The 11,971-nt window shown below is 51.4% G+C and overlaps 1 protein-coding gene and 1 long non-coding RNA gene across 4 annotated transcripts in view, besides 4 other annotated features; one reads left to right on the forward strand and one right to left on the reverse strand.

Annotated features, from left to right (window-relative positions):
- Window positions 6,277-9,638, reverse strand: LOC100287387 (uncharacterized). Its single transcript, NR_157851.1, has one exon. It is a non-coding gene; the product is annotated as an uncharacterized LOC100287387 (long non-coding RNA).
- Window positions 7,752-8,262: an enhancer, noted in NCBI's record as "H3K27ac-H3K4me1 hESC enhancer chr2:239754662-239755172 (GRCh37/hg19 assembly coordinates)". NCBI's record gives its function as "activates a minimal SCP1, AML or CMV promoter by ChIP-STARR-seq in primed H9 embryonic stem cells {active_cell/tissue: H9 hESC(primed)}" and the evidence as "EXISTENCE:reporter gene assay evidence [ECO:0000049][PMID:30033119]".
- Window positions 8,263-8,773: an enhancer, noted in NCBI's record as "H3K27ac-H3K4me1 hESC enhancer chr2:239755173-239755683 (GRCh37/hg19 assembly coordinates)". NCBI's record gives its function as "activates a minimal SCP1, AML or CMV promoter by ChIP-STARR-seq in primed H9 embryonic stem cells {active_cell/tissue: H9 hESC(primed)}" and the evidence as "EXISTENCE:reporter gene assay evidence [ECO:0000049][PMID:30033119]".
- TWIST2 (twist family bHLH transcription factor 2) overlaps window positions 9,816-11,971 on the forward strand; it is a 62,450-nt gene continuing 60,294 nt past the window's right edge. For 2 of the 3 annotated variants that reach the window (NM_001271893.4, NM_057179.3), the window contains exon 1: window positions 9,816-10,464. In NM_001271893.4, the coding sequence (NP_001258822.1) occupies window positions 9,947-10,429 (483 nt within the window). In that variant the 5' untranslated portion in view covers window positions 9,816-9,946 and the 3' untranslated portion in view covers window positions 10,430-10,464. Of the gene's footprint in view, window positions 11,829-11,971 lie in introns of all 3 variants that reach the window. The other variant, XR_007069137.1, reaches the window with a different exon arrangement.
- Window positions 10,307-10,816: an enhancer, noted in NCBI's record as "H3K27ac-H3K4me1 hESC enhancer chr2:239757217-239757726 (GRCh37/hg19 assembly coordinates)". NCBI's record gives its function as "activates a minimal SCP1, AML or CMV promoter by ChIP-STARR-seq in naive H9 embryonic stem cells {active_cell/tissue: H9 hESC(naive)}" and the evidence as "EXISTENCE:reporter gene assay evidence [ECO:0000049][PMID:30033119]".
- Window positions 10,817-11,327: an enhancer, noted in NCBI's record as "H3K27ac-H3K4me1 hESC enhancer chr2:239757727-239758237 (GRCh37/hg19 assembly coordinates)". NCBI's record gives its function as "activates a minimal SCP1, AML or CMV promoter by ChIP-STARR-seq in primed H9 embryonic stem cells {active_cell/tissue: H9 hESC(primed)}" and the evidence as "EXISTENCE:reporter gene assay evidence [ECO:0000049][PMID:30033119]".

Consider the following 11,971-nt stretch of genomic DNA (forward strand, 5'->3'; position numbering starts at 1 on the left):
GAACTGTAGCTCCCATAATTCCCATGTGTGGTGGGAAGGACCTGGTGGGAGGTAATAATCATGGGGGCAAGCCTGGAAGGAGCTGGAACGTCACTCTGAAAAATCTGAGCCCAAAAGGAGAACCTGGCAGTGCTGACAGATGAGAGGGTTTGTACTGAAAAGAGGGTAACTGTGTGAAAATCTGCATTCTGAATGATGAGATCCCCTGCCTAGGTCCCTTTCCCTCCTAAGTCTCCCAAGACTTAGGGAAAGAACCCAAGCTTCTGCCCCAGAGCAGGAGGTGGAAGAATTCCTCCCTGGAGAGAGGGTCAGCCACAAAGAAAAATAGCAATGACTGGGCGGTCTTCCCCCAAGTGTGACTGAGTCCCCAGCTGATCATCCCAAAGTAAGCCTACCAGTGACAATGGTCCCTCTTCTCACATATACACGTATACATGCACACACACACACACATGCACACACACAAATGCACACACACACATGCATACAGAGCTGCCAATCAACTCTTTAATGCCAAAGCCCTGAATCTGGGCTTGGTCTTGTGACTTAGCCCATGGAACATTGGTACATGTGTCAGGAGCAAAATCTTGGAAAGCATTTGCCTTGGGGCTTGTGCTCTTCAGACTGTGGTTGGAGTCCTGAGACCACAGCAAGAACAAACTCAAGCCAGCCTGCTAGAGAAGCCATGTGCAGGAGCACCAAGGGGTGAGAGCTGGTGCCTACTACCACCAGATCTGTGAAAGAGGCCATCAGGCTTAAGCCATGAGATGACCACAGGCACATGAGTGACACCAGGCAGGACTGCCAAAACAAACAAACAAACAAACAAACCAAAAACCACCTGGCTGAGCACAATCTGAACTGCTGGCCTACAAAACTGTAAGCAAATACAATGATTGGTATTTGAAGGCACTGCATTAGAGGGTGGTTTGTTATGTGATAATAGATATAAGATAGATTGGAAGGGTGTAAGAACATCAGCCACATGGCTATCTGGGGAGCAGGAAGTTTCAGGTAGGCTTTTGTGTGGGGACATGCACTATGCAGGGAGGAACTGCCAGCAGCCCAGAGTGACAGGGGTGGAGTGAGCCAGAGACATAGAACCTGGAATTAGAGAGGTCATGGGGCAGGATCTTTGTCAGATTGGGTGGGCCTTACAGATGCTGGCAAAGACAGTCATTTATACAAAGTGAAATGAGCCCTTGGAGGGAGCGGAGCAGAGGAGGGGTGAGATCTGACTGCATCCTGATGACACCATTGAGCCTGTCTGCTAGCCCTGGATTTTTCTGGAACTGGCTGCCCTAGCCAGGGGCTAGATGACTTGCAACTTCTCAAGTGGTGCTGGGTCCTGCCTCCAGGAGGCATACCTCTCTTTCTATGATGTTACTTAGCATGGACCAGCAGTGCCTGAATCCATTCTTATATAACAGAGATGTTATAATTCTACCGTCTGTCCTTCATTTGTTATCTGGAACACTTCTATAGAGTGAAATATTTTCTCATCAACTCATACATTACATTGAGGTATAATTCAGTAAGAAAGGCTAGTTACATGCCTGATTCTTTCCCTTTACTTACCAATTTTTGGGACAGTGAGTCCATTTCCTAGCAACAGCCAAAAATGACCAATAAGTTTTGTATTCGAGTAACATTGAGACTTAAGGATTTTTACCATCTGTGATATGTTTCTGTCTATTGCAGTTACTTTTCTCATTCATGCTCATTTGCCCTGAAGTGGGGAAACACTTTTCAGTTCCTTCCTGGTCCTTTTGACATGAACATGGTAGTTATTTATGGCTTCCTTGTCTTCTGGTATAGTAAGATGCTCCAGGCTTATCTTGTTTTGCCCTAGATCTAGGTCAACCATTTCTTCAAGGAGAGACCAAAATCTGCACACTAGCGGTGCTCATTGCAGTGGGCGGCTCGTTGTTCTAGTTCTTTTCAGTGGTCAGGGTCAGGAAATACAGACCCAAGCCCATAGCTGATGTTTCCAACAAATTTAGAATTACATGGTTTCACTTAACTTCTTCTTTTTTTTTTTTTTTTGAGATGGAGTCTCTCTCTGTCGTCCAGGCTGGAGTGCAGTGGCGAGATCTCAGCTCACTGCAAGCTCCACCTCCCGGTTTCACACCATTCTCCTGCCTCAACCTCCTGATTAGCTGGGACTACAGGTGCCCACCACCACGCCCAGCGAATTTTTTGTATTTGTACTAGAGATGGGGTTTCACTGTTTTAGTCAGGATGGTCTCAATCTCCTGACCTTGTGATCTGCCTGCCTCAGCCTCCCAAAGTGCTGGGATTACAGGCGGGAGCCCACCGCACCCGGCAACTTCTTTTGTTTTACATTCGTACCTCTTTTCTTTGAGGTTGGAGATCTTGATCCCCAAAGACATGAACATAATTATTCATTTGGCTTAGCTCACAATATAGTTTTGGAATAACAATAGCAATTTTATTACTAGAAACATGAATGCTGAAAGGTTTAAGCCTTTTTTTGCAGTTCTTTTTGCCTTTAGAATGTATTTCACTAGGGACGTAAGGCAATTATAGTGTTTTAAAGCTATCTTAAATTATTTCTGTCTGCATGGTTGAGCCACCAATATCATACACATTTGATAAGGTACATTTGTGTGATTTTGCTTTTGATTTTTTAGGGATTCTATTTTTTTATTTTACTTGATTTTATATATATAATTATATGAACATTTACATGATTCCAAAGTCAAATCTACAAAACAAGATTTATTTGGAGGGAATTGGCTCCCATCCCAGCCCCCTACACCCTATTCTTTCTGATTCTATTTATGTCTTGTTTGATCTTTCCATTTTCATTTTTTAATTGAAATTTGGTATATTTTCCAGGTTTAAAAAAGTCATATGAGTTTGATGCAAGAACAACTTTGATTAGATCTCAAAGGCATTTAAAAATGTGTGCCAGCTGGGCGTAGTGGCTCACACCTGTAATCCCAGCACCTTGGGGGGCCGAGGCAAATGGATTACTTGAGGTCAGGAGTTTGAGACCAGTCTGGCCAACATGGTGAAACCCCATCTCTACTAAAGATACAAAAATTAGCTGGGCATGGTGGTGAGCATGTGTGATCCTAGCTACTCAGGAGGCTGAGGCAGGAGAATTGCTTGAACCCAGGAGGCAAAGGTTGCAGTGAGCTGAGATTATGCCACTGCGCTCTAGCCTGGGTGACAGAGTGAGACTCTGCCTCAAAAAATAAATAAATAAAATAAAATAATAAAATAAATAAAAATAAAAACATGTGCCAAAGGCCAGTGTTAGCTCCACTTTACAAGCAGATGTGAATGATGTCAAGAAGTCAAAGCCAAAGGATAGGGGGAGCCCAAGCGTCCACCTTCTAAACCACAGCCCAGAAGTGTGGGTGTCGCACCAGGATTCCATTATGGAGAACAAGGCCCACATTGCTTAAGCAGGAAACGACTTATTAGAGGCTATGATAGAATTGTTTGTGGAGCTGAATGAGCAGGCTCTAGGTAGAGCTGTCAAGGCTGGCTTCTGAGCCATACTGCAGAGCTGGAGTTGCTGACTCATCACATCCAGAAACTGGTGAATCCAGAACCACCTGGAATCAAGGAGCCGCTCCTGCTGCAGCCAGCTTCCGAGCTGCAGCGCTCCTGCTATACGTCTCTCCAGGAACCGGATGTGCAGACCACACCTCTGGACATCTGGTGCCTGGACACCATGCTGCCAAGAAAACCAAACACCTCCACCCTGGGCTGACCAGTGACGTGCAGGCATCTGCCCATTTCCCTACATATCCCTAGAAGTGCACCTCACCGATCAGGGCTGCCAGATACTGAAAAAGGTCATTTTCATTTTCCCATCTGCTGCAATTCAAGAAGAAAGAAGAGAGGCTGGATGGAAAGGAGGATGAGGACCCAAAACACGGAGGAACAATACCACCAGGAGATGACGCTGTTCAACACTGCTGGGTTAGCGACGTCAGACACTCGAGGGCAGGGCCATTACACTGCAGCTGTGCCTTGGGCCCCCTACCCCCAGGGATTTCTCAAGGGGATTATTTTTTATCTTTTTTTTAATGTTGATCGGAATCTATAACATTTATATTTTTTCTTGACAGGTTGGTTGGACATATTTTTGGGGTATTTTGACACCTGTACATGATGTGTAACGATCAAATCAGGGTAATTGGGATGTCCATCATCTTCAACATTTGTCCTTCTTTCTGTTGGAAACATCATACAACTTATTTTCTAGCTATTTTGAAATATGCAATAAATTATTTTTAACTGTAATTTCCCTACAGCACTGCAGAATACTATAACTTATTTCTTCTATATGACTATATTTTGGTACCCCTTGGCCAACTTGTCTTTGTCCCCCTCTCTCCCTTCCCCTTCCTGACCTCTGGGAACTACGATCCTACTCTCTATCTCCATGAGATATGATTTTTTAGCTCCCACATGTGAGTGAAAACACAAGATATTTGTCTTTCTGTGTCTGGCTTATTTCACTTAACACAATGACCTCCAGTTCCATTCATGGTGCTGAAAGTGACAGGAGTTCATTCTTTTCATGTCTGAATAATATTCCATTATATATATATATATCTGATATATATATATATATCTTATATATATATATATCATATATATATATATATATATCAGATTTTTGTATGCATTCATCTATGATGGACACTTAAGTTGATCCAATATCTTGATCATCATGAAGAGTGGTATGATAAACACGGGTGCACAGATATCTCTTCCATATAGTGATCTTTCTTTTCTTTCCTTCTTTCTCTTTTTTTTTCTTTCTTCTTTTTTTTGAAACAGAGACTCGCTCTGTTGCCCAGGCTGGAGTTCAGTGGCTCGATCTCGGCTCACTGCAACCTCTGCCTCCCGGGTTCAAGAGATTCTCCTGCCTCAGCCTCCCAAGTAGCTGGGACTACAGGTGTGCATCACCATGCCCGGCTAATTTTTGTATTTTTAGTAGAAACAGGGTTTCACCAAATTGGCCAAGCTGGTCTTGAACTCCTGACCTCAGGTGATCTGCCCGCCTCAGCCTCCCAAAATGCAGGGATTACAGTTGTGAGCCACTGCATCAATGACTTCAAGATTAATTCACATTGCAGCAGTTACCAGGATTTCCTTCCTCGTGCCTCAGCCAGCAGAGTAGCTGGGATTACAGCCACACACCACCATGCCCAGCTAATTATTTGTATTTTTGGTAGAAATGAGGTTTTGCCACGTTGGCCAGGCTGGTCTTGAACTCTTGACCTCAAGTGATCTGCCCACCTTGGCCTCCCAAAGTAGCAGTTGGGATTTTTAAAGGAGAATCCTGCCTGTACAGGATGTGTGCCCTGGGCTTTAGGTTCTGGCTCTTTGTAAGTAGGATTCCATCCTGCTGGTGTCATTGCTGAAGTTAGGCAGAAGATTGGCTCTTGGACTTGACATCCAGAAAGTGTTCTGATGCCCATCACCAAGAATACATTGCACTTTACAACTAGATTCGAGAAGCATCTTCAACCCTGGTTTTTAGAACTGAAAAATGCTTTTACAGTGACCCCCAACCCTCACCGCTGCTCTATCACACTGGGGAATGTGCTGGATGATTGAAATCTTGGGGGGTGGCAGGTGGTTGCAGGTAGGCATAAAGTATTGCCAGAATAAAGCCAACAATACATGGCACAAGGATAGCTTTTTCCCAGACAGCATATTTCTAGCATTCAGCAACATGATGCTGAAGACCCCTAGAATCTACACAGAAATGCCAAAACTTTGTCAGATAATTCTCAAGAGTCCATCTCTGAAAACTTGTGGTTTCTTAAAATAATGGGTCATGTTCACTGTCATCTCAGTCTACGAGAGAATAATTCAAAATGAAGGCACCAAGACTAGTTTGATGGAAAAGTGTCAGTGGAGCGCTGTGTTAGTGTAAGACTGCTACTGCGCCAATGCTATTTGCTTTGCAAATAAGGAAGTGCTGTTTGGGAGATGCTGTTACCAACCCCCGGATCAATGTCATTGATTCATTAATCTGTTGGATTGATTCTGTCACACAAATATGGGCTGCTCTGTCATCTGCTCTCAGTTCACTAAATTCAAGTGGAGGTAACAACCCACCATGTCACTGGGAATGGAAACTAGACCTTTAACGATATCTTGGTTTTTGTCTCTTGCTCCAACAAGAACTTCATAGAGTTAAACTACAAAAGGATCTGCTGAAGAGCTCAGGTGGGTTCACCCGTGCAGGCATTTTGACAAAAGGTAGCGACAACAGCATTCAAATGTATAAATTCATTGCTTTATTTAGCTCCTGAGAGTTTACTAAATTTTTTTCACATCTGAGCAAGTACACAGTTTCTTATCCTAAGAAAGCCCAGGGGCTGTATAATTGCGTCGTATTCTTTTTTCTTTCTTTTCTTTCTTTTTTTTTTTTTTTGACACAGTCTTGCTCTATCGTCCAGGCTGGAGTGCAGTGGCATGATCTTGGCTCACTGCAACCTCCGCCTCCTGGGTTCAAGCGATTATCCTGCCTCAGCCTCCCGAGTAGCTGAAATTACAGGCATGCACCACCACACCCAGCTAATTTTTGTATTTTTAGTACAAATGGGCTTTCACTATGTTGGCCAGGCTGGTCTCGACCTCCCAACCTCAGGTGATCCACCTGCCTTGGCCTCCCAAAGAGTTGGGGGATTACAGGCGCGAGCCACCGTGCCTGGCTGCTATTCTTGAAGACTATCCCCAGGTGACAATCCCTGCAGTGTCATTCTACTGCAGCAAGATTAAAGCCAATCTAATAGCTGGCAAATTTGCTGTGAAAACATATCACCTTCTGTTACTTGCTGCCCTAAGGAAAATGTGCAATAGAAGAATCTTTCAGAACACCAGTTCATTTTTTTTTAAAAAACACAAAGTCACATGAAACAAAGCACACTTTTTTACATATATGAAAGGAAGCATTCACAGGATTTTCCATACTCAGTAATGAATAAGTACCCCAAGAACTGTATTTACTTCTGTGAATCTTTGTTGCGTGATATTTTACTGAAGTCCAAGTGAGCCTGGGTGGTCCTGCAAAGAGTATTCACACAGAGATATATTGTATTACTTATGCTATTAATAAATTGGCTTTATTAGCCTTATCACTGACTTAATTTTTGAAAGAAAAACTCAAACTAAATCAATAACCTGAGTATTATTTCCCAAATTGATGACATTTTCATTTGGGTTTTAATTCAGCAAATTCCCCTCCTCAAAAGAGGGGAATGCTGTCACTTCCCCAGCCAACATACAGGTGACATTGGAAACGCTGCTAAATGCCACTGTGCCTTAGCTTCTCCTATGTATGCAAGGGGTCACTGCCCAGGTAATGACTCTGAGGGGCTGGCAATACAGCATAAGAAAGTCACTCCAAATTCTGTTAAGCAAGGTTTTCCGCAGGCAGCCGTCAGTATCACAGCCTCCAGTACTATAATCATTGTTAAAGCATTTTAAAATAGACAAGACACGCCATGAAGAAAGTGCATCCAGACGGTTGAACTGGGCTGCTGGTTATGATAGCTCCAGGGCGCCCCGGGGGGTCGCAGGTGAAATCCTCCAGGTCCATCTCCCCAGGCAGAGGTGAGCCTGCAATCCAGCTTGCGCTGCCCTTCCAGGGCGTCCCCGGGGCCTCTGGTCTTCAGGGCTGGGCTGAGCCCTGGGCTGCTCAGGACCAAAGCTGAGCTGTTTTTCTTTCAAACTAAACTATGAACTCTCTCTGCTGGAGAAAGAGACAGAAAGGACAGAGAAAGAGACACGCCGACAGAGCCAGAGTGACACAGGGGCACGCAGACAGGGAGACGAGGATGGCGAAGCAGGCTACCAGGCAGGTCCTCTCCTCAGTAAAAGCCCTCCGCATCTGGGAAAGGGAAGATGTCCCTGGATCTGGGTCCTTGGACCCACACAGGGTTGGTAAAAGGGCAGCAAATCGCTACTGTCACTGCTCTGAGCAAAGAAACCAGGGAAAGGCCAGTTCGGGAAAAACAGGCCCTTTCCATCTGACGTGAAGCCCCAGGAAGGGCTGCAGCCCAGCACCGGCAGGACGGCTGGGGACCTGGCTTCTCTCTCTCTCTCTCTCTCGTTCCTTAAATTTTTATTTGAGAATTTTAAAGAAAGGGACCTGGAAAGCTATTTTGTTGGGCTAGAGGGGCCGTGGGCCTTCCCAGCGCGGAGGAAGGAGGGCGGTCAGGCCGGGTGGGGCTGGGTGCGGTGGCTCTGCAGAACCTTTAGGCACCGAACTGAAGCCGCGGGTCCGGTGCGCGGACACTGCGCAGGGCGCTGCTACCGACTCACATGCATGCGAGGGCCCGCTCCTAGGCGTTCTGCCTTCCTGGACGGATTGTTGGTAAAACGTCCCCTAGAACGGCCGGAGCCAGGGCCCTCGGACAGGGGCGCGAAGGGCCCGCTCTTTGCCGTCCTCGGGTTTCCCAACGCGGTGGTCGTGGCCCGCGGGCCCCACCTCGCGGCCCGCCTGGCCGGCCGGAGGAGCAGCGGAGGCCGAGCACTCCCCGGTCTCGGGTTCAACTTCAATAAAAGGGCCCAGCCCGCCCTTGATCACGCGGCTTGCCTGACAGCCCGGCTCAGGCCCGGGCCTAATTGAGCCCGGGTCACCTGGGAATAGGTTCAAAGGCATCAAAGCCGTAAAAACCACCTCCAGGCCCAGAGCCAGAGCGGCCTGGCGAACAAAGAGCCCCCCAACCACTTCAAACGCGCTCGCGCTCGCCGTCCAGATGGCCCGGGGCCGGGGTCCGTGGTGTCGCTCACCGAGGCCGGGCCCCACACTCCAGCCACCCTGAGCCTCCTGCTCGGAGCTGCCCGCGGGCTGCCAGCGCAGCGGAGGCTGGGCCCGGGGCAGCCTCGTGCAGCTCCCGGAGCGCCCTCCGTCCTCTGCTGACCCGCGAAGCGAAGGCGGAGCGCAGAGGCTGGGGCCGTACAAGGCGGGCCGGCAGGCGCCCCAACCCGCGCCCAGCAACCCGGGTAGGGCCAGGCAGGCGGGCGCGGCGGGTACCGGGCGCTCCCGCAGAGGCTCGCTGTGGCGTTGTTTTAAAGCTGTTAGAAGGAAGGTTCGGGAAGGGCGTCGGGGCCGGGGCTCCCCAGCAAGCCAGGGTAAGAAATGGTCCCCGACACGCACGCTGGCCGAAGGGTGGCATCTCCACGGATCTTGGCGGCATGTCCTTGGGCACGGGCGTCTCCAGGGGGCCCCGACTGTCCTTACACTGGCGGTCCGGACACCGAGACCCCTGCCCGCGCAGCTCCCCAGACCCCAGGCCTAAGCTTGCGGGCCGCGGTGCAGACTAGCTGTGCGCCCGGGGGCGGCCAAGACCCACACAGGTCGAGGAGGCTCCTGGCTGCGTCCTCATCTTCTGGGAGCGCATCTGGGACTGGACTCGCCTCTCTAGCCCCTCACGCCCAGAGAGAGAACCCCCCAAAGCCCAGTGGGGGCCGATCTCTACGTTGAGGCGTAGACAAAGCCAGGCTTGGCCGGGCCTAGGGCTCGGGGCGGCCTGAGAGTGCCCTGCGTTCGGGGTGGGGGCGCGGGCGGCGGGCGAGGACCCGGCCCCCGGGATGCCCTCCGCGCCGGGGCCGAAGGGGGAGGCAAAACTGAAAGTGCCGCGCCGGGGGGCGGGGGCGGCCGGCGAAGGCCCCAGAACTTGTCCTGCCCCCGGCCACCGCGGCCAATCAGCGCGCCGCCCTAGCTCCTGACAACTATTTAGCAACCCAGCCCAGCTAGAGTTTCCAAAAAAGTTAGAATAACTTCCTCTCCCGGAGACCTCGGTTTTGCACAAGCCGGCCTTGAAATCAGAGCCTTTCCAGCAACTCCGAGAGCGTGTGCTCGGCGACCGCGGGCTTGGCCAGCGGCGCGCGCTCGGCGCCCCGGCGCCCCCAGCCCCACGCGCGCCGGGCGGGCGCCATGGAGGAGGGCTCCAGCTCGCCCGTGTCCCCCGTGGACAGCCTGGGCACCAGCGAGGAGGAGCTCGAGAGGCAGCCCAAGCGCTTCGGCCGGAAGCGGCGCTACAGCAAGAAGTCGAGCGAAGATGGCAGCCCGACCCCGGGCAAGCGCGGCAAGAAGGGCAGCCCCAGCGCGCAGTCCTTCGAGGAGCTGCAGAGCCAGCGCATCCTGGCCAACGTGCGCGAGCGCCAGCGCACCCAGTCGCTCAACGAGGCCTTCGCGGCGCTGCGCAAGATCATCCCCACGCTGCCCTCTGACAAGCTGAGCAAGATCCAGACGCTCAAGCTGGCCGCCAGGTACATAGACTTCCTCTACCAGGTCCTGCAGAGCGACGAGATGGACAATAAGATGACCAGCTGCAGCTACGTGGCCCACGAGCGCCTCAGCTACGCCTTCTCCGTGTGGCGCATGGAGGGCGCGTGGTCCATGTCCGCCTCCCACTAGCGCCGCGCCACCCACCTCCGGACCGGCGCGCCAGGGTAGGTGCTGCGCGCGCGACGGGCGCCCTCCGCTGCGGGGGGCGGGCGGCAGGGGCGCAGGGGCATTGGGGCCTGCTCGTGTCTCCTCGGCGAGGCCCCGCGGGCCGCGGGGGCTTGGATGCCGTGCGCTTTTCCTCTTAGCAAGGAAGGCGGGCGGGCGGGACGCTCACAGTCCCAGGGACACCCCTGAGTGCAGACTTCCACGCGAGGGTGTCAGTTGGGAACCGGCGGACCGGTGACTCCCCCGGCGGGTTCTGAAGATACTTAGACAGATGGTCGCAGTTTTCATTCTCGGTGGTGTGTGGGTGTCCGTGGTTGGCGGTGGAAGGAGCGAGCATCAGAAAAACCTCCTGGGGCCGGCTGGGGACTGGGATATGAGGACCAGCTGCCCTTTGCGTCCGCCGCAGCGCAGGCCGCCCGCGAAGCTGCCCGAGCCGGGTGTTGCCGGGCGAATGGCTTCGCTTTCTTCCTGGGCAAGGGTAGAGCGCGTCCGTCGGGCGGACACTCAGATCTACCCAGCTGCTCGCGCCTGGGGTCCCCGGCCGTCGGCGCCCTGGCCTGCCCAGTGGGCGTAGAGGTGCGGGCCTGCGGCTCCAGGGTTTGCCTGGGGAGGACGGGAGGAAACTGCCCTGCGCTTCGGGGCCAGAGCAGCCACAGGGCCGGGTGTGCCCGAGAAGGGCCCTGGGCCGAGAGCGCAGAGCCTGGAGCGCTGAGGCAGGCGGGTCCGACGCAGCCGCGCGGAGCCCCAGGGCGCCCGCAGGCAGGTGGAGCTGACCTAGGAACTGGGAGCCCTGAGTCCCAACCTTGACCCTGGAGTACCCGGGAGGGGCCCCGCCCATCCAGCCCCGCAGGGATGGGCGAGGGGTCCAGGCTGGGAAACGGGTCTGGGGGACAGGGAGGCTGTGCGCGCCGGGCCCTGCGCGAGGAGAAGGCTCGGGGGACACAGCTGCCAGGAGCACTCCAAGTTCTGGTTTCCTCTGGAAGAGCGATTAGGGCGTCCTGCACCGGGTCCTTTTCACCAGACACCTTCCAAGTCCCTTTAGACAAGCTCGAGCCACGGAGGCGCCGTCCTTAGGCTCTGTGAGCAGGCGAGCCCCTCTCTCATCCGCCATCCAGGGCCATGGAGGGGCACAGAGTTCTTTTTGCTGGGGCCGAGTTAAAAATCCTTCCCCCTTAGTATGTTTTAGTTCCTCGCACATCTTGCGATGTTTTTATAAAAGACTCTACTTCACACAGAAGGAATTTAGATTAATCAAGAGCACCCGGCCGCCTATTCTCCCAAACATATCTATTTCTTTTTTTATGTGGTTCTATAATATCTGCGAATGTTGTTGCTGAGGCCACGAAAAGCTGATCCAGCACAGGTGGGTTTTATTTCATTTTTTTAGCTTTTATTTTGGTGTCACTGAAAATTCTGTAGCTGCAGAGCCTCCTGAGATAATGATAATTGTATAGTTTTTAAAAAATAATTTTCAGCAGAAAATAACTTGTGGGAATCTTCTCCTGT

This window comes from Homo sapiens, chromosome 2 (assembly GCF_000001405.40).
Source record: "Homo sapiens chromosome 2, GRCh38.p14 Primary Assembly".
NCBI lineage: Eukaryota > Metazoa > Chordata > Mammalia > Primates > Hominidae > Homo > Homo sapiens.